The 22,725-nt window shown below is 39.9% G+C and overlaps 1 protein-coding gene and 1 long non-coding RNA gene across 34 annotated transcripts in view; one reads left to right on the top strand and one right to left on the bottom strand.

The window, feature by feature from the left end:
- The window catches only part of CHRM3 (cholinergic receptor muscarinic 3), a 528,883-nt gene that overhangs the window by 272,010 nt on the left and 234,148 nt on the right, over positions 1 to 22,725 (bottom strand). For 20 of the 32 annotated variants that reach the window (NR_164748.1, XM_047443115.1, NM_001375982.1 and 17 more), the window contains one exon: positions 11,155 to 11,217. The exons of 9 other annotated variants lie outside the window; for them this stretch is intronic. The gene's annotated coding sequence lies outside the window, so the exon portion shown is untranslated. Of the gene's footprint in view, positions 1 to 7,422; positions 11,123 to 11,154; positions 11,218 to 13,901; positions 14,369 to 22,725 lie in introns of those variants that run through there. 3 more of the 32 variants (XM_047443239.1, XM_017000160.3, NM_000740.4) reach the window with 2 other exon arrangements.
- The window catches only part of LOC105373225 (uncharacterized), a 42,892-nt gene continuing 30,036 nt past the window's right edge, over positions 9,870 to 22,725 (top strand). For both annotated transcript variants that reach the window (XR_007066968.1, XR_007066969.1), the window contains exons 1-3: positions 9,870 to 9,955; positions 11,471 to 11,567; positions 11,999 to 12,070. This is a non-coding gene — a long non-coding RNA (uncharacterized LOC105373225). The remainder of the gene's footprint in view (positions 9,956 to 11,470; positions 11,568 to 11,998; positions 12,071 to 22,725) is intronic.

Raw genomic sequence — 22,725 nt, 5'->3', positions numbered from 1 at the left:
AGCTGGGAAGCTCGAACTGGGTGGAGCCCACCACAGCTCAAGGAGGCCTGCCTGCCTCTGTAGGCTCCACCTCTGGGGGCAGGGCACAGACAAATAAAAAGATAGCAGTAACCACTGCAGACTTAAATGTCCCTGTCTGACAGCTTTGAAGAGAGCAGTGGTTCTCCCAGCATGCAGCTGGAGATCTGAGAATGGGCAGACTGCCTCCTCCAGTGGGTCCCTGACCCTTGACCCCCAAGCAGCCTAACTGGGAGGCACCCCCCAGTAGGGGCAGACTGACACCTCACACTGCCAGGTACTCCTCTGAGACAAAACTTCCAGAGGAACGATCAGACAGCAGGATTCGCGGATCACGAACATCCACTGTTCTGCAGACACTGCTGCTGATACCCAGGCAAACAGGGTCTGGAGTGGACCTCTAGCAAACTCCAACAGACCTGCAGCTGAGGGTCCTGTCTGTTAGAAAGAAAACTAAAAAACAGAAAGGACATCCACACCAAAAACCCATCTGTACATCACCATCATCAAAGACCAAAAGTAGATAAAACCACAAAGATGGGGAAAAAACAGAGCAGAAAAACTGGAAACTCTAAAAACAGAGCGCCTCTCCTCCTCCAAAGGAACGCAGCTCCTCACCAGCAATGGAACAAAGCTGGATGGAGAATGACTTTGACGAGTTGAGAGAAGAAGGCTTCAGATGATCAAAGTACTCCGAGCTACAGGAGGAAATTCAAACCAAAGGCAAAGAAGTTAAAAACTTTGAAAAAAATTTAGAAGAATGTATAACTAGAATAACCAATACAGAGAAGTGCTTAAAGGAGCTGATGGAGCTGAAAGCCAAGGCTCGAGAACTATGTGAAGAATGCAGAAGCCTCAGGAGCCGATGCGATCAACTGGAAGAAGAGGTATCAGTGATGGAAGATGAAATGAATGAAATGAAGCGAGAAGGGAAGTTTAGATAAAAAAGAATATAAAGAAACGAACAAAGCCTCCAAGAAATATGGGACTATGTCAAAAGACCAAATCTACATCTGATTGGTGTACCTGAAAGTGACGGGGAGAATGGAACCAAGTTGGAAAACACTCTGCCGGATATTATCCAGGAGAACTTCCCCAATCTAGCAAGGCAGGCCAACATTCAAATTCAGGAAATACAGAGAATGCCACAAAGATACTCCTCGAGAAGAGCAACTCCAAGACACATAATTGTCAGATTCACCAAAGTTGAAATGAAGGAAAAAATGTTAAGGGCAGCCAGAGAGAAAGGTCGGGTTACCCACAAAGGGAAGCCCATCAGACTAACAGAGGGTCTCTCGGCAGAAACTCTACAAGCCAGAAGAGAGTGGGGGCCAATATTCAACATTCTTAAAGAAAAGAATTTTCAACCCAGAATTTCATATCCAGCCAAACTAAGCTTCATAAGTGGAGGAGAAATAAAATTCTTTACAGACAAGCAAATGCTGAGAGATTTTGTCACCACCAGGCCTGCCCTAAAAGAGCTCCTGAAGGAAGCACTAAACACGGAAAGGAACAACCGGTACCAGCCACTGCAAAATCACGCCAAATTGTAAAGACCATCAAGACTAGGAAGAAACTGCATCAACTAACGAGCAAAATAACCAGCTAACATCATAATGACAGGATCAAATTCACACATAACAATATTAACTTTAAATATAAATGGACTAAATGCTCCAATTAAAAGACACAGACTGGCAAATTGGATAAAGAGTCAAGACCCAGCAGTGTGCTGTATTCAGGAAACCCATCTCACGTGCAGAGACACACATAGGCTCAAAATAAAAGGATGGAGGAAGATCTACCAAGCAAATGGAAAACAAAAAAAGGCAGGGGTTGCAATCCTAGCCTCTGATAAAACAGACTTTAAACCAACAAAGATCAAAAGAGACAAAGAAGGCCATTACATAATGGTAAAGGGATCAATTCAACAAGAAGAGCTAACTATCCTAAATATATATGCACCCAATACAGGAGCACCCAGATTCATAAAGCAAGTCCTGAGTGACCTACAAAGAGACTTAGACTCCCACACAATAATAATGGGAGACTTTAACACCCCACTGTCAACATTAGACAGATCAATGAGACAGAAAGTTAACAAGGATATCCAGGAATTGAACTCAGCTCTGCACCAAGCGGACCTAATAGACATCTACAGAACTCTCCACCCCAAATCAACAGAATATACATTTTTTTCAGCACCGCACCACACCGATTCCAAAATTGACCACATAGTTGGAAGTAAAGCACTCCTCAGCAAATGTAAAAGAACAGAAATTATAACAAACTGTCTCTCAGACCACAGTGCAATCAAACTAGAAGTCAGGATTAAGAAACTCACGCAAAACCGCTCACCTACATTAAACTGAACAACCTGCTCCTGAATGACTACTGGGTACATAACGAAATGAAGGCAGAAATAAAGATGTTCTTTGAAACCAATGAGAACAAAGACACAACATACCAGAATCTCTGGGACACATTCAAAGCAGTGTGTAGAGGGAAATTTATAGCACTAAATGCCCACAAGAGAAAGCAGGAAAGATCCAAAATTGACACCCTAACATCACAATTAAAAGAACTAGAAAAGCAAGAGCAAACACATTCAAAAGCTAGCAGAAGGCAAGAAATAACTAAAATCAGAGCAGAACTGAAGGAAATAGAGACACAAAAAGCCCTTCAAAAAATTAATGAATCCAGGAGCTGGTTTTTTGAAAGGATCAACAAAATTGATAGACTGCTAGCAAGACTAATAAAGAAAAAAAGAGAGAAGGATCAAATAGACACAATAAAAAATGATAAAGGGGATATCACCACTGATCCCACAGAAATACAAACTACCATCAGAGAATACTACAAACACCTCTACACAAATAAACTAGAAAATCTACAAGAAATGGATAAATTCCTCGACACATACACCCTCCCAAGACTAAACCACGAAGAAGTTGAATCTCTGAATAGACCAATAACAGGATCTGAAATTGTGGCAATAATCAATAGCTTACCAACCAAAAAGAGTCCAGGACCAGATGGATTCACAGCCGAATTCTACTAGAGGTAAAAGGAGGAACTGGTACCATTCCTTCTGAAACTATTCCAATCAATAGAAAAAGAGAGAATCCTCCCTAACTCATTTTATGATGCCAGCATCATCCTGATACCAAAGCCGGGCAGAGACACTACCAAAAAAGAGAATTTTAGACCAATATCCTTGATGAACATTGATGCAAAAATCCTCAATAAAATACTGGCAAACCGAATCCAGCAGCACATCAAAAAGCTTATCCACCATGATCAAGTGGGCTTCATCCCTGGGATGCAAGGCTGGTTCAATATATGCAAATCAATCAAGGTAATCCAGCATATAAACAGAAACCAAAGACAAAAACCACATGATTATCTCAATAGATGCAGAAAAGGCCTTTGACAAAATTCAACAACCCTTCATGCTACAAAATCTCAATAAATTAGGTATTGATGGGACATATCTCAAAATAATAAGAGCTATCTATGACAAACCCACAGCCAATATCATACTGAATGGGCAAAAACTGGAAGCATTCCCTTTGAAAACTGGCACAAGACAGGGATGCCCTCTCTCACCACTCCTATTCAACATAGTGTTGGAAGTTCTGGCCAGGGCAATTAGGCAGGAGAAGGAAATAAAGGGTATTCAATTAGGAGAAGAGGAAGTCAAATTGTCCCTGTTTGCAGACAACATGATTGTATATCTAGAAAACCCCATTGTCTCAGCCCAAAATCTCCTTAAGCTGATAAGCAACTTCAGCAAAGTCTCAGGATACAAAATCAATGTACAAAAATCACAAGCATTCTTATACACCAATAACAGACAAACAGAGAGCCAAATCATGAGTGAACTCCTATTCACAATTGATTCAAAGACAATAAAATACCAAGAATCCAACTTACTAGGGATGTGAAGGACCTCTTCAAGAAGAACTACAAACCACTGCTCAATGAAATAAAAGAGGATACAAAGAAATGGAAGAACATTCCATGCTCATGGGTAGGAAGAATCAATATCGTAAAAATGGCCATACTGTCCAAGGTAATTTATAGATTCAATGCCATCCCTATCAAGCTACCAATGACTTTCTTCACAGAATTGGAAAAAACTACTTTAAAGTTCATATGGAACCAAAATAGAGCCTACATCACCAAGTCAATCCTAAGCCAAAAGAACAAAGCTGGAGGCATCATACTACCTGACTTCAAACTATACTACAAGGCTACAGTAACCAAAACAGCATGGTACTGGTACCAAAACAGAGATATAGATCAATGGAACAGAACAGAGCCCTCAGAAATAATGCCGCATATCTACAACTATCTGATCTTTGACAAACCTGAGAAAAACAAGCAATGGGGAAAGGATTCCCTATTTAATAAATGGTGCTGGGAAAACTGGCTAGCCATATGTAGAAAGCTGAAACTGGATCCCTTCCTTATACCTTATATGAAAATTAATTCAAGATGGATTAAAGACTTAAATGTTAGACCTAAAACCATAAAAACCCTAGAAGAAAACCTAGGCATTACCATTCAGGACATAGACATGGGCAAGGACTTCATGTCTAAAACACCAAAAGCAATGGCAACAAAAGCCAAAATTGACAAATGGGATCTAATTAAACTAACGAGCTTCTGCACAGCAAAAGAAACTACCATCAGAGTGAACCAGCAACCTACAAAATGGGAGAAAATTTTCGCAACCTACTCATCTGACAAAGGGCTAATATCCAGAATCTACAGTGAACTCAAACCAATTTACAAGAAAAAACCAAACAACCCCATCAAAAAGTGGGCGAAGGACATGAACAGACACTTCTCAAAAGAAGACATTCATGCAGCCAAAAAACACATGAAAAAATGCTCATCATCACTGGCCATCAGAGAAATGCAAATCAAAACCACAATGAGATAACATCTCACACCAGTTAGAATGGCAATCATTAAAAAGTCAGGAAACAACAGGTGCTGGAGAGGATGTGGAGAAACAGGAACAATTTTACACTGCTGGTGGGACTGTAAACTAGTTCAACCATTGTGGAAGTCAGTGTGGCGATTCCTCAGGGATGTAGAACTAGAAATACCATTTGACCCAGCCATCCCATTACTGGGTATATACCCAAAGGACTATAAATCATGCTGCTATAAAGACACATGCACACGTATGTTTATTGCGGCACTATTCACAATAGCAAAGACTTGGAACCAACCCAAATGTCCAACAATGATAGACTGGATTAAGAAAATGTGGCACATATACACCATGGAATACTATGCAGCCATAAAAAATGGTGAGTTCATGTCCTTTGTAGGGACATGGATGAAATTGGAAATCATCATTCTCAGTAAACTATTGCAAGAACAAAAAACCAAACACTGCACGTTCTCACTCATAGGTGGGAATTGAACAATGAGAACACGTGGACACAGGAAGGGGAACATCACACTCTGGGGACTGTTGTGGGGTGGGGGGAGGGGGGAGGGATAGCATAGGAGATATACCTAATGCTAAATGACGAGTTAATGGGTGCAGCACACCAGCATGGCACATGTATACATATGTAACTAACCACATTGTGCACATGTACCCTAAAACTTAAAGTATAATAATAATAAAATTAAATTAAAAAAAAGAAAATTCACAAAGAAATACAAATTCCCCAAAAAAAAAAAAAAGAAAAATGTGAAGCTCACAGGAGCAGTCAGGTGCTGCTATGATGGGATTTGGCAACCCCACGGTGTTGTGTGGGGTTGACCTTGGGACGAGTGAAGAGCAAAGGCTTTCAGACTCACTACTCTTGGTAATAACAAATGCTGTTAGCAAGTAATAAAAGAGCATTTCACCAAAAAAAAAAAAAAAAAAAAAAAAGACTTTGATGAAAGGAAAACCATACAGTAAATATCAAAAGCCTTAAAAATTTGTGTACCATTTGATCAAGGAATTTCATTTCTGGGACTATATTCTAAGGAAGATATTCAGTGATATGTGTAGAAAGTTATTAACAATGATCTTCATCAATATTAAAATTTTTAACGTGAAATACTGGAAATGATCAGGAATATTTATGTATGCTATAGAATATTATGCACATTTTCTACGCATATAAACATAATGGTGTTTAAAAAGAATATTTAGTGATGTAGTAACATGTTAGAGCAGAAAATAAATTTACAAAACCAAACAAAAGACTTTGATAAGACCATTGATCAAGAATTACAGGTCATCATTTCTGTATACCTGATAATATAAATGTATATATAAATGTATACTTCTCATTAAAATCTTTGAAAAGACTTTATTTGGAAGTTCTATATAAATTCAATACTTACTATTCCTCCCAATACTTTTTATTTTCTCTTCCTTTAATACCGAGGATACAAACTGAACTTCTTTCACAAAATTTCATATAGATACTCCAAAATCCTATCCAATGTGCCATCCAAATATTGCCATTTTATGTGCATAATAAAGTGGAAAAGCATAACAAGTATGTGGCCAGCCACACACACAGCTGATGAAGAAAAGCTGAGGTACCCAAAGCAGGCAGGGTTGGGAGGGATACTACTGCACATTACATGTAGCATGTTTTTGGATCACAAGAATCTACTGCTTCTGACTTTTATTAGACGCACATTCATTAATAAAGTGGGTGCCCTTCCTTTGCACAATTTTAAAAACAGATTTTTCTCCTCAACAGATCAGCTTCCATTTTTTTAACATTTTCCAAACATATAATTATCATCTTCCAAAGACCCAAAAGTGCTGTCAATGTGACAGAAATCAGAATGTAAATATTTTACAAACAGCTGTCAAATCTCAATCGGCAGCAAAGATAAAGCCCCAGAATTGCTGTAATGTAACCACGAGGCTATATCATTTAATTGACAGATAAGACGTTTTTCTAGTTTTCATTTTCCTGTCAGTATTTTTAATACATTAACACCCTGTGCCATTCTGGATAGTCACTGTGACAATTCCCTTGAAGACAGAATAAACTCTGAAATGTGCTAAGGGAAATGCCTGGCACAGTGACTGACTTTTGTTTCACGGGATATTTTTCACAGTCATTGTTATCTGGAATGTTTGTTACTAACATGGATTAAATACTGGCATCAAGGGAATATTATCATGCCCATAAAAACAGGGAAAATTTTGCTCTTTGCAGTTCAATAATTTATTATTTCATTCTTTCGGGCCTTCATTCAACAAACATTTCTCATTGTGCATGCGCCAGGTTTAGCCAATAAATCTATGTAAGATCCAAAGAACGGAGCCCTGTCGCCCAATATTATAGATCAGAAATGCCACTGAGTAAAGATCCCTGAAACAGTCCCACCCAAGGATTTACCACTATTTTCTATTTATACCACTGTCTGTCCTTCTGTTCTTCTTCCTAGATTGTTTCTTCATCTTTTTCTCTGTTTTCTTTTTCTTTTTCTTCCCATCTAAGCAAAAGACACGTTGGGGACATCTATAAGAATTGCTTAATTTCTTTTAAGATATTTAACGTAGGGCATTTTCTGACTCTATATTCATTTACTCAACAAACATTTACTAAGCCTCTTGCAGGGGGCAGGCATCATTATAAGTATGGTGGTTTTGGCAGTGAAGGAAACAGACAAGGCCCTGCCCTCATGGGGCTTAGATGATATTATAATGGGAGATAAACGACAAAATATAAACAGGTGCGACAGAATTCGTCATGTCTTACCTAAGTCCCTTAAGTTACATATGTAAGTATTTTGTCCATAAGTGGTTATTTTCGTATGCCTTAAGAAATAAAACTTCCAGTCTTTAAAGGGAATTAAACCTGGGTGTCCAGGACAGTGGTTATTTAGAGAGCGGTTAGGAGAGGTCTTGGCAGTTGAGATTTGACTGGAAGGGTCAAGTAGTAAACAAGAGCCAGGGGATCAGTGCCAGGCCCCTGAGGGCAAAGAACAAAGAGAAATATTCAATAAATAAAGACAGGGAGGCTTGGAGTGTAGGAAGCAAGAGAGAAAAGTACAAGTAGAAACCAGATCATATCAGATTTATAAGTCATGTTAATGCATTTGGATTTGATTCTAAATGTAGGGGAGGGAGTTGAAGGATTTTGAGAAGGTCTCAAATAGGAGAATAACAAGATCTGATGGAGGTTTCCCAAAGCAGACGCTGGCTGTGACAGAATGTAATTTTGTATGGTAAGAATGAAAGCCATGTTGACTAACATGAAGCTAATGCCATTGTCCAGGCAAGACAAGATGATGACTTGGAGTAGAGTCATAACAAAAGAGACAAGGGATTCAGGATGTATTTGGAAGAAATAGAAGGAAAAGGAAAATAACTGGTCACTCTTAGTTTCAATGGCCAGAAATAAAAACTGTAGCTTTGAATAGATATCAGAGTATTTCCCTGCATTAGCAATGGAGACCCAAGGAGGTAAGCTATTATTTTGTACTAACAGCATATCAGAATAACTTATACCTTCAATTTACAAATAAGCAGCAAAGGTCCAGAGAGGTGAAATGGCTTTTTATAATGCCAAAAATTGCTAGGCTATCCCCTGCATTTCCAGTCTCTTATTTTCCAGCCAAAAGATTTTTCCATTATCCAGCTCCCCCATCCCCCAAGTCAGCTCCGTGCCTTACTCAATGCCTTGTATAACTTTCTTCGGAAAGAAATTTCATTATATGACTTAGTTTTTAACCTGTATTTTTTTTTCTGAACCAAGTCAACAAGAGTGAATTAATGAAGATTGTTAGGCGGAGAATACTTAATTCTATGATTGTTGGGTAAAAGCTGAGTTTTGGTGACCATATTTTGACCATTAGTTCTAAACTTTTATTTCAAAAAAAAAAAGAAAAGAAGATGCTCAGAATTAATATTTCCTTTACCAGCTTTCATAGGCAATTCCAATATAAACTGATTTTCCCAAATCAGATCTGTTTTTCTCTTTTTCTTTTCTGTTCTTTTTTTTCTCTTTTCTTTTCTTCTTTCTTTCCTTTCTTTCTTTCTTTCTTTCTTTCTTTCGTTTGTTCTTGCTTTTGCTCTCTATCTTTATTCCTTTCTCTCTCTCTCTCGTTTCTGTTATACAGGAATAGACTCAGTTCACTTAGTTTTACAAATGCAAAATATAATAGAAAGTCTGTGCTATTGAAGAGTATTGTATTCAAAGGGTTACTGAGCTGACAATGTCCCCTGACTAACTATAAAATGTAATCAGCAATAGCACAGGCTCCTGGAACCAGGCTGTCAGGACCAGCATCGAGGCAGCTGTGTACAGGGATCAGCATCTGACAGGTCCAAGTTCGAATCTCACCTGTGCCACTTACTACCATAGGACAAAGTTCACAGGACAAAGTTCTTAACATCTCAGAGCCTGTTTCCTCATACATAAAATGGAAATAAAAATACTCGACTTAATAGCACTGCTGCAGTGTTTAAGTAAGATAGGGTAATGTGTCCAGCATGATATCCAGATATGAATGTTACTGAATCAGCTAAGTCTACATTTGGCTCTGAGTGTCAGAAAACCTAATAAGCTCTTCTAAATTAGGGACTGTATGTGTCTCATGCAACAAGAAATCTGATGATGGGCTTGCCAGAGCTCAAGCTCATTTTATCTTCCTGCTCCAGTATCCCCAGTTCGGCTTTTGTTGCTGTGATTGCAAGAAGGGGTGGGTGGGGGAGGGGTGTGACTTCCTGATAGAATGATGGGATAAGAACAAAGAAAAACATTCTAAGAGGAATCTCCTCTTGAAAGTCTCTCCCCAGGGACCATGACTGAGAGCTCATTGGCTGTAGCTGGGTCACATGGCCACAGAAAAAAGAGTCTGGGAAGATGAGAATATTTTTTAGCTGGGCACTTTGCTGTCCTTACAACAGCAAGATTTTGTTAGGAACGAAGAGGGTAGTGATAAGGTTTGGCTCTGTGTCCCCACCCAAATATCATCTCGAACCGTAATCTCTATCTGTTGAGGGAGGGGCCTTGTGGGAGGTGATTGGATCATGAAGGTGGTTTCCCCCATGCTGTTATCATGATAGTGAGGGAGTTCTCTTGAGATCTGATGGTTTTAAAAGTGGCAGTTTCCTCCGCACCCTCTCCCCGCTCTCCTGCCGCTATGTAAGTCATGCCTAGCTGGGTGCGGTGGCTCACGCCTGTAATCCCAGCACTCTGGGAGGCTGAGGTGGGCAGATCATGAGGTCAGGAGATCGAGACCATCCTGGCTAACACGGTGAAACCCCATCTCTACTGAAAATACAAAAAATTAGCCAGGCATGGTGGCAGCGCTTGTAGTCCCAGCTACTCGGGAGGCTGAGGCAGGAGAATGGTGTGAACCCGGGAGGCGGAGCTTGCAGTGAGCTGAGATGGCGCCACTGCACTCCAGCCTGGGTGACAGAGCGAGACTCCGTCTCAAAAACAAACAAAAAAGACATGGCTTGCTTCCCCTTCGCCTTCTGTCATGATTATAAGTTTCCTGAGGCCTTCCCGGCCATGTAGAACTGTGAGACAATTAAACTTCTTTTGTTTATAAATTACCCAGTCTCAGGTAGTGTTTTTATAGCTGTATGAGAAGGGACTAATACAGGGGGATTGGATTTAGGGTAAGATGTTAGCAGTGTTTGCTGGATAGATAAAACATTATTAAGGATAACATCTAAGAAAGATTGAGCTTTTCCACAATGTTTCTGTTTATGTTCACAATCATATTTTGTACAGCATTCTGAAGAAGGGCAATCTAAATCCAGGGATAATTCTTAAGCTTCTAAGAATTAGACAAGCTATAAGATCCTATATATGTACTAATAATTCAAACATTTTGCAATATTTCAAAAAATTCCACATTGCTACAGTTAAATACAAATGTGCATTTGAAATAAAGTTAACTTATTTCAAATCTCAATCAACATCCCTTTATTTCTATTTTTAAACTGATGAGAAAATGAACACACTTAGCTTTATTAAGACACAAAAAATTGAGCATGACTAATGGTAACAATTGTACATCATGTTGAAAACACCAACTTATACATTCTTATTCCTTGTTAATCTGTTCTCACAGATTGGGCCATCAATCCCCCTTTTCAAGGAAATAGCTCAACTAGAAAAAGGATCTTACCTTATTGTACCTTAGCTGAAGTTCTGACTGTCATTTATTTGGCCACTAATCAGAACACAAGTGCTAGAAAAGAACAAACAAACAAACAAAAATATGGGATTAACAAATAACCAAGACCCTGGGAAAAAGAACATCAATAGGTTACACAACACGATTAGAGGCAATGGAAAAAAAATTACAGAATTTTTGAGTTGGAAGTGACTTCCCAGATCATGGTGCCTAACCTCATGTACCTGAAGAGGACGGAGAGGGTCAGAGAAGTTAAGGTACCCGTCACTGGAAAAGAAATGTATCTATTGACTTCCTCATTCTACAGCTCCTCACCTCCTGCCTGCCTAAGCTCCAGTTGCAAGGAAGGGAGATAGAGTGAGAAGAATAAAAATAAAGAAGTTGCTCATCTCTTCATTTTGCATGTAAGTGATGATTGCCTTTCTTCTCTTAGCAAATTGGCTAGTATGGTCTATGTTCAACAAGTATTCCATTTGCTACCTTCTCCCAGACACTATTCGAAATATACACATACAGTGATCTTACAATTAGCCCATTCTCATACAGGAAGAAAATGCAATCTTCATGAAAATCCCCTAACTCCACTTCAGACACTGAAGTTCACCTTTTTGAAGTGTACTGAGCCTGACAGCTAGGCCAGAATCTTAGGAAAGTACCTCCATTAGAAGGTTAACCTAGAGAAAGAAAAAGAAGTGCCAGGCTTTGCAGAAGAACAGGGGAACTGTGGCATTGTGAAGGATGTGGCTGAGTTCAGAGGGTCATGAAGGAATGGGAAATGCTTTGGAAGAACTTGAGGATGAGATCTCCTGATAAGGTGTGATTGAATTTTTTAAAGGAGGACCTTGAAGTTTGCACAGCATGGTGACGGTGACACCAAATGAAAAGAGGACTGAGAACAGACTGTAAGGTAAGAAGTAGAAGGATCCTAGAGGTGCATGTGGAGGGATTTTTCTCAGCAAGTGAGAGAGGAGCCTAGTGAAACCTCTGCGAGTGTCATCTGTGACAAGATCAGCACAGAGAAGGAGAGCAAACTTCGAGAGAGTTTTACAGCAATTGGATATGTAATTAACAATTTAAAATAGATTTGTATTTTATATATCTTTTAAAAGTATTAATATGCAAAGGATATGGGGGACAAGAGTAATTGCTCCTTCTTCAGTTTGAGAAGCACATTTATGCTCACAAGCATTGGTCCTCTGCTGCCCTGATATCCCTTCTTCCTCTCTTTAGCGCCTCCCTCTCCCTCTGCTATTGCTTGCCATGTTGGAACTGTCAATCACGGGATCCTCTCCCACTTTCAACAAGGGAGGGCAACTGACCCAAGCAAGGCCTCTCAGACTCCTCCTCTCCCAAGATCTCCTTCCCCACTGCTGCCCTCCCCCGGCCCTCCCTATCTGAGAAGTGTCTTATGGAAGGAAGGGCTGGAGCTATCATTCCATGAAATGCATGCACTTTATACCCTGGGCTGGGAAACTGAGGTTGAGGGTGTAAGTGACCATGGGTCACAACTTGAAATCAGCTCTGTCTGACTCTTTCCACTAACAGCCTTGCCTCTCTTACATAGCAGCACATTCTCAGGAAATAATATCTGTGTACCTAGAACTTCAAGAGTAAACTGAACTATATCAACACTCCCATTCCTACTATAGGAAATGAGGGTAAGTCATCAAACAACACTTCAGTGCAAGGATGTAGTCATTTCTCTCCCTCATCTCTATCTAACAAATAGACATTTTCTACCATTTAGGGCATGCTGATGAGCATACAATTCATCTTTCACTGCTAATATCCCTGTAAAATCTAATGGGTCAAAGGGCAAGTACTCAGTTAACTCCATTTAACCATGTGTCAGTCCTCTCACTGAAACCCACTGTCTTGTGCATAGTAGTTGCTCAGTAAATATTTACAGTAGATTTTATCATTAAAAGTAATAAATGCCCATTATTACAAACGCATTTGCCTAATTTACAATTAGGAGTCCCAACATTGCCTACATGTTGAAATTCAGATCATTTTAAATAAGTAAATACATATTATACAAAATTAAGTAGCACCATTAATGTTAAAACAGACATAAACACAACTGAATTTTATTGAAGTGTCTACTAATATCAATATCTTGTTCACTAAATGAATTGGGAGACAATAAATGAGATTGAACATCTTGAAGTTTCTCTGATTAAATTTCTCTAGTATCAGATTCAGAAAGACATTCATTCTGAAAACAAGCAAAGGAACTGGCTTTCATCCTAGCTGCAGATTCATTCTATTGAAAATTAATTGCATGTAACATTCATTTAGAGATGAGGTTCAAATCTCTAAGTACAGATGACAGTCTTCTCCAAAACCCAGTAAACATGGCTCAAAGGTCACATAATCAAACTAAGATTGGCAATTCCAGAGAATGCTGTCCTAATTATATAGTTAGCCAAATAAAGAAGAAAACAAAACTAGAGACAGAATAATTATGGAAGGCCAGATGAGAGGCTTCTTTCAACAGGTCAACAAAATATTACTCTGATTTATGATGTCCATAAAAAAAGGTAGGATATTTTGCTAACTTTTTAAAGTTGTACTGGCATGCCTTGGAAATATTGTGGTTTTGGTTTCATACCACCACAATAAAGTAAGTCACAAACATTTTTTGGTTTCCCAGTGCACACAAAAGTTATGTTTACACTATATTGTCATCAATTAGATGTGCAATAGCAATATGTCCAAGAAAGCAATGTACATACCTTAATTAAAAATACTAGGAGCCAAGATGGCCGAATAGGAACAGCTCCGGTCTACAGCTCCCAGCGTGAGCGACGCAGAAGACGGGTGATTTCTGCATTTCCATCTGAGGTACCGGGTTCATCTCACTAGGGAGTGCTAGACAGTGGGCGCAGGCCAGTGTGTGCGCGCACCGTGCGCGAGCCGAAGCAGGGCGAGGCATTGCCTCACCTGGGAAGCGCAAGGGGTCAGGGAGTTCCCTTTCCGAGTCAAAGAAAGGGGTGACGGAAGCACCTGGAAAATCGGGTCACTCCCACCCGAATATTGCGCTTTTCAGACCAGCTTAAGAAACGGCGCACCACGAGACTATATCCCACACCTGGCTCGGAGGGTCCTACGCCCACGGAGTCTCGCTGATTGCTAGCACAGCAGTCTGAGATCAAACTGCAAGGCGGCAACGAGGCTGGGGGAGGGGCGCCCGCCATTGCCCAGGCTTGCTTAGGTAAACAAAGCAGCCAGGAAGCTCGAACTGGGTGGAGCCCACCACAGCTCAAGGAGGCCTGCCTGCCTCTGTAGGCTCCACCTCTGGGGGCAGGGCACAGACAAACAAAAAGACAGCAGTAACCTCTGCAGACTTAAGTGTCCCTGTCTGACAGCTTTGAAGAGAGCAGTGGTTCTCCCAGCACACAGCTGGAGATCTGAGAACGGGCAGACTGCCTCCTCAAGTGGGTCCCTGACCCCTGACCCCCGAGCAGCCTAACTGGGAGGCACCCCCCAGCAGGGGCACACTGACACCTCACACGGCAGGGTATTCCAACAGACCTGCAGCTGAGGGTCCTGTCTGTTAGAAGGAAAACTAACAAACAGAAAGGACATCCACACCGAAAACCCATCTGTACATCACCATCATCAAAGACCAAAAGTAGATAAAACCACAAAGATGGGGAAAAACAGAACAGAAAAACTGGAAACTCAAAAACACAGAGCGCCTCTCCTCCTCCAAAGGAACGCAGTTCCTCACCAGCAACGGAACAAAGCTGGATGGAGAATGATTTTGACGAGCTGAGAGAAGAAGGCTTCAGACGATCAAATTACTCTGAGCTACGGGAGGACATTCAAACCAAAGGCAAAGAAGTTGAAAACTTTGAAAAAAATTTAGAAGAATGTATAACTAGAATAACCAATACAGAGAAGTGCTTAAAGGAGCTGATGGAGCTGAACACCAAGGCTCGAGAACTACGTGAAGAATGCAGAAGCCTCAGGAGCCGATGCGATCAACTGGAAGAAAGGGTATCAGCAATGGAAGATGAAATGAATGAAATGAAGCGAGAAGGGAAGTTTAGAGAAAAAAGAATAAAAAGAAATGAGCAAAGCCTCCAAGAAATATGGGACTATGTGAAAAGACCACATCTACGTCTGATTGGTGTACCTGAAAGTGATGGGGAGAATGGAACCAAGTTGGAAAACACTCTGCAGGATATTATCCAGGAGAACTTCCCCAATCTAGCAAGGCAGGCCAACGTTCAGATTCAGGAAATACAGAGAACGCCACAAAGATACTCCTCGAGAAGAGCAACTCCAAGACACATAATTGTCAGATTCACCAAAGTTGAAATGAAGGAAAAAATGTTAAGGGCAGCCAGAGAGAATGGTCGGGTTACCCTCAAAGGAAAGCCCATCAGACTAACAGCGGATCTCTCGGCAGAAACCTTACAAGCCAGAAGAGAGTGGGGGCCAATATTCAACGTTCTTAAAGAAAAGAATTTTCAACCCAGAATTTCATATCCAGCCAAACTAAGCTTCATAAGTGAAGGAGAAATAAAATACTTTATAGACAAGCAAATGCTGAGAGATTTTGTCACCACCAGGCCTGCCCTAAAAGAGCTCCTGAAGGAAGCGCTAAACATGGAAAGGAACAACGGGTACCAGCCGCTGCAAAATCATGCCAAAATGTAAAGACCATCGAGACTAGGAAGAAACTGCATCAACTAATGAGCAAAATCACCAGCTAACATCATAATGACAGGATCAAATTCACACATAACAATATTAACTTTAAATATAAATGGACTAAATTCTGCAATTAAAAGACACAGACTGGCAAGTTGGATAAAGAGTCAAGACCCAGCAGTGTGCTGTATTCAGGAAACCCATCTCACGTGCAGAGACACACATAGGCTCAAAATAAAAGGATGGAGGAAGATCTACCAAGCAAATGGAAAACAAAAAAAGGCAGGGGTTGCAATCCTAGTCTCTGATAAAACAGACTTTAAACCAACAAAGATCAAAAGAGACAAAGAAGGACATTACATAATGGTAAAGGGATCAATTCAACAAGAGGAGCTAACTATCCTAAATATTTATGCACCCAATACAGGAGCACCCAGATTCATAAAGCAAGTCCTGAGTGACCTACAAAGAGACTTAGACTCCCACACATTAATAATGGGAGACTTTAACACCCCACTGTCAACATTAGACAGATCAACGAGACAGAAAGTCAACAAGGATACGCAGGAATTGAACTCAGCTCTGCACCAAGCAGACCTAATAGACATCTACAGAACTCTCCACCCCAAATCAACAGAATATACATTTTTTTCAGCACCACACCACACCTATTCCAAAATTGACCACATAGTTGGAAGTAAAGCTCTCCTCAGCAAATGTAAAAGAACAGAAATTATAACAAACTATCTCTCAGACCACAGTGCAATCAAACTAGAACTCAGGATTAAGAATCTCACTCAAAGCTGCTCAACTACATGGAAACTGAACAACCTGCTCCTGAATGACTACTGGGTACATAACGAAATGAAGGCAGAAATAAAGGTGTTCTTTGAAACCAACGAGAACAAAGACACCACATACCAGAATCTCTGGGACGCATTCAAAGCAGTGTGTAGAGGGAAATTTATAGCACTAAATGCCTACAAGAGAAAGCAGGAAAGATCCAAAATTGACACCCTAACATCACAATTAAAAGAACTAGAAAAGCAAGAGCAAACACATTCAAAAGCTAGCAGAAGGCAAGAAATAACTAAAATCAGAGCAGAACTGAAGGAAATAGAGACACAAAAAACCCTTCAAAAAATCAATGAATCCAGGAGCTGGTTTTTTGAAAGGATCAACAAAATTGATAGACCGCTAGCAAGACTAATAAAGAAAAAAAGAGAGAAGAATCAAATAGACACAATAAAAAATGATAAAGGGGATATCACCACCGATCCCACAGAAATACAAACTACCATCAGAGAATACTACAAACACCTCTACGCAAATAAACTAGAAAATCTAGAAGAAATGGATACATTCCTCGACACATACACTCTCCCAAGACTAAACCAGGAAGAAGTTGAATCTCTGAATAGACCAATAACAGGCTCTGAAATTGTGGCAATAATCAATAGTTTACCAACCAAAAAGAGTCCAGGACCAGATGGATTCACAGCCGAATTCTACCAGAGGTACAAGGAGGAACTGGTACCATTCCTTCTGAAACTATTCCAATCAATAGAAAAAGAGGGAATCCTCCCTAACTCATTTTATGAGGCCAGCATCATTCTGATACCAAAGCCGGGCAGAGACACAACCAAAAAAGAGAATTTTAGACCAATATCCTTGATGAACATTGATGCAAAAATCCTCAATAAAATACTGGCAAACCGAATCCAGCAGCACATCAAAAAGCTTATCCACCATGATCAAGTGTGCTTCATCCCTGGGATGCAAGGCTGGTTCAATATACGCAAATCAATAAATGTAATCCAGCATATAAACAGAGCCAAACACAAAAACCACATGATTATCTCAATAGATGCAGAAAAAGCCTTTGACAAAATTCAACAACCCTTCATGCTAAAAACTCTCAATAAATTAGGTATTGATGGGATGTATTTCAAAATAATAAGAGCTATCTATGACAAACCCACAGCCAATATCATACTGAATGGGCAAAAACTGGAAGCATTCCCTTTGAAAACTGGCACAAGACAGGGATGCCCTCTCTCACCGCTACTATTCAACATAGTGTTGGAAGTTCTGGCCAGGGCAATCAGGCAGGAGAAGGAAATAAAGGGTATTCAATTAGGAAAAGAGGAAGTCAAATTGTCCCTGTTTGCAGACGACATGATTGTTTATCTAGAAAACCCCATCGTCTCAGCCCAAAATCTCCTTAAGCTGATAAGCAACTTCAGCAAAGTCTCAGGATACAAAATCAATGTACAAAAATCACAAGCATTCTTATACAACAACAACAGACAAACAGAGAGCCAAATCATGAGTGAACTCCCATTCACAATTGCTTCAAAGAGAATAAAATACCTAGGAATCCAACTTACAAGGGATGTGAAGGACCTCTTCAAGGAGAACTACAAACCACTGCTCAAGGAAATAAAAGAGGACACAAACAAATGGAAGAACATTCCATGCTCATGGGTGGGAAGAATCAATATCGTGAAAATGGCCATACTGCCCAAGGTAATTTACAGATTCAATGCCATCCCCATCAAGCTACCAATGACTTTCTTCACAGAATTGGAAAAAACTACTCTAAAGTTCATATGGAACCAAAAAAGAGCCCGCATCGCCAAGTCAATCCTAAGCCAAAAGAACAAAGCTGGAGGCATCACACTACCTGACTTCAAACTATACTACAAGGCTACAGTAACCAAAACAGCATGGTACTGGTACCAAAACAGAGATATAGATCAATGGAACAGAACAGAGCCCTCAGAAATAATGCCGCATATCTACAACTATCTGATCTTTGACAAACCTGAGAAAAACAAGCAATGGGGAAAGGATTCCCTATTTAATAAATGGTGCTGGGAAAACTGGCTAGCCATATGTAGAAAGCTGAAACTGGATCCCTTCCTTACACCTTATACAAAAATCAATTCAAGATGGATTAAAGATTTAAACGTTAGACCTAAAACCATAAATACCCTAGAAGAAAACCTAGGCATTACCACTCAGGACATAGGTGTGGGCAAGGACTTCATGTCCAAAACACCAAAAGCAATGGCAACAAAAGCCAAAATTGACAAATGGGATCTAATTAAACTCAAGAGCTTCTGCACAGCAAAAGAAACTACCATCAGAGTGAACAGGCAACCTACAACATGGGAGAAAATTTTCGCAACCTACTCATCTGACAAAGGGCTAATATCCAGAATCTACAATGAACTCAAACAAATTTACAAGAAAAAAACAAACAACCCCATCAAAAAGTGGGCGAAGGACATGAACAGACACTTCTCAAAAGAAGACATTTATGCAGCCAAAAAACACATGAAGAAATGCTCATCATCACTGGCCATCAGAGAAATGCAAATCAAAACCACTATGAGATATCATCTCACACCAGTTAGAATGGCAATCATTAAAAAGTCAGGAAACAACAGGTGCTGGAGAGGATGTGGAGAAATAGGAACACTTTTACACTGTTGGTGGGACTGTAAACTAGTTCAACCATTGTGGAAGTCAGTGTGGCGATTCCTCAGGGATGTAGAACTAGAAATACCATTTGACCCAGCCATCCCATTACTGGGTATATACCCAAAGGACTATAAATCATGCTGCTATAAAGACACATGCACACGTATGTTTATTGCGGCACTATTCACAATAGCAAAGACTTGGAACCAACCCAAATGTCCAACAATGATAGACTGGATTAAGAAAATGTGGCACATATACACCATGGAATACTATGCAGCCATAAAAAATGATGAGTTCATGTCCTTTGTAGGGACATGGATGAAATTGGAAACCATCATTCTCAGTAAACTATCGCAAGAACAAAAAACCAAACACCGCATATTCTCACTCATAGGTGGGAATTGAACAATGAGATCACATGGACACAGGAAGGCGAATATCACACTCTGGGGACTGTGGTGGGGTCGGGGGAGGGGGGAGGGATAGCATTGGGAGATATACCTAATGCTAGATGACACGTTAGTGGGTGCAGCGCACCAGCATGGCACATGTATACATATGTAACTAACCTGCACAATGTGCACATGTACCCTAAAACTTAGAGTATAATAAAAAAAAAAAATTAAAAAAAAAAAAACTTATACACCATGGAATACCATGCAGCCATAAAAAATGATGAGTTCATGTCCTTTGTAGGGACATGGATGAAGCTGGAAACCATCATTCTCAGCAAACTATCGCAAGGACAAAAAACCAAACACTGCATGTTCTTACTCATAGGTGGGAACTGAACAATGAGAACACTTGGACACAGGAAGGGGAACATCACACCCCGGGGCCTGTTGTGGGGTTGGGGGAGGGGGGAGGGATAGCATTAGGAGATATACCTAATGTAAATGACGATTTAAGGGTGCAGCACACCAACATGGCACATGTATACATATGTAACAAACCTGCACGTTGTGCACATGTACCCTAAAACTTAAAGTATAATAAAAAAAAACCTTTATTGCTAGAAAATACTAACAATCATCTGAGCCTTTATAGAGTTATAATTTTTTTTTTTTGGTGGAGGGTTTGCCTCAATGTTGATGGGTGCTGACTGATCAGGGTGGTGGTTGCCAAAAGCTGGGGAGGCTGTGGCAATTTTTTCAAATAAGAAACAATGAAGTTTGCTGCAGTGATGGACTCTTTCTTTTGTAAAAGATTTCTCTGTAGCTTGTGATGCTATACATCACATCCTCAAGTTGCATGTGATGCTGTTTGACAGCATTTTGTCCACAGTAGAACTTTTTAAAAATTGGAACCAATCCTCTCAAAGGCTGCTGCAGCTTTACTAAGTTTACGTAATATTCTAAATCTTTTGTGGTCATTTTAACAATATTCACAGTATCTTCACCAAGAGTTAATTCCATCTCAAGAAAACCACTTTCTTTGCTAATCCATAACAAGCAACTCCTCCTCCAAGTTTTATCATGAGATAGCAGCAAATCAGGCCCATCTTCAGGCTCCACTTTAAATTCTAGTTCTCTTGCTGTTTCTACCACAATGGTATTTATTCTTTCTTCATCGAAGTCTTGAACCCCTCAAAATCATCCATGAGGGCTGAAATCTACTTCTTCAAACTCCTGTTAGTGTTGATATTTTTACCTCCTCTCAAGAATCATGAATGTATTTAATAGCATCTAGAATGGTGAATCCTTTCTAGAAGGTTTTCAATTGACATTGCCCAGATCCATCACAAGAATCTATGGCAGCTATAGCTTTATGAAATGTATTTCTTAAAATAGTAAGACTTAAAAGCCAAAATTGCTCCTTGATTCATGGGCTGCAGAATGGATGTTATATTAACAGGCATGAAAACAACATTAATATCCTCCTTGTACACCCAAATGAGAGCTATTGGACGAGTAGATGCATTGTCAGTGAATAGTAATATTTTTAAATGAATCTTTTTCTGAGCAGTAGTTCTCAACAGTAGGCTTAAAATATTCAGTATATCAGGCTGTAAACAGATGCACTGTCATCCAGGCTTTGTTATTCCATTTATAGAGCACAGGCAAAGTAGATTTAACATAATTCTTCAGGGCCCTAGGATTTTTGAAATAATAAATGAATGTTACCTTCAACTTAACTAGTAGCTGCATTAGCTCCTAATAAGGAAGTCAGCCTGTCCTTTGAAACTTTAAAGCCAGGCCTTGACTTCTCTCTAGCTTTGAAAGTCCTAGATGGCATCTTCTTCCAGCAGAAGGCTGGTCGATCTACACTGAAAATCTGATGTTTAGTGTTGCCACCTTCATCAATGATCTGCACTTGCTGCTTCACCTTGTAATTTTATATTATATAGACAGCTTTTGTCCTTAAACCTCATGAACCAACCTCTGCTAGCTTCACATTCTTCTTCTGCAGCTTCCTTTCCTCTCTCAGCCTTCATAGAATTGAAGAGAGTTAAAGCCTTGCTCTAGATGAGGCTATGGATTAAGGGAATCTTGTGGTTGGCTGGATCTTCTAGCCAGGACACTCAAACTTTCTCCTCCATATCAGCAATAAGGCTGTTTTGCCTTCTTATCATTTGTGTGTTCACTGGAGTAGCACTTTTCATTTCCTTCATGAACTTTTCCTTTGCATTCACAACTTGGCTAACTGTTTGGTGTAAGAGGCATCACTTTCAGCCTGTCTCAGCTTTCCACATGGCACCCTCACTCAGCTTCGTTATTTCTAGTTTTTGACTGAGACATGTAACTCTTCCTTTCACTTGAACACTTAGAGGCTGTTGTAAGACTATTAATTGGCCTAATTTCAATATTGTTGTGACTCAGGAAATGGGGTGGAGGGCAAGGAGAGGAAAAGAGATGAAGAAATGGGTGGTTGGTGGAGCAGTCAGAACACATTCATTAATTACATTTATCAATTAAGCTTGCTATTTTATATGGGAGTGGTTTATGGCATCTCAATACAATTACAACAATAACCTCAAAGATCACTGATTCCAGATCACCATGTCATATATAATAATAATTAAAAAGCTTGAAATACTACAAGAATTACCAAAATGTGACACAGACACAAAGTGAGCACTTGGGGTTGGAAAAATGCTGCCAATGGATTTGCTGAAGCAGGGAAGCTACAAATCTTCAATCTGTAAAAATCACAATATCTGTGAAGCACAATGAACTGAAGCACAATAAAATAAAGTATGTCTCTACCCATTTCTTTTACTATTATCCTACCACTCATACGACTATGCATATGCCCTTCTCACGAAACAGTACTATATATTTCTCATCAATGCCTGTGAATCTAACTCTCTCTTTGTAAGAGAGAGTGAATCCACCTCAGCATGGATGTGCCCTATTCTTTTACTATTTATAGAATTATGGTTGCTTCCTTTTTCTTATTATAAAC

This window comes from Homo sapiens, chromosome 1 (assembly GCF_000001405.40).
Source record: "Homo sapiens chromosome 1, GRCh38.p14 Primary Assembly".
NCBI lineage: Eukaryota > Metazoa > Chordata > Mammalia > Primates > Hominidae > Homo > Homo sapiens.
This window is presented reverse-complemented; position numbering and strand designations above follow the sequence as displayed.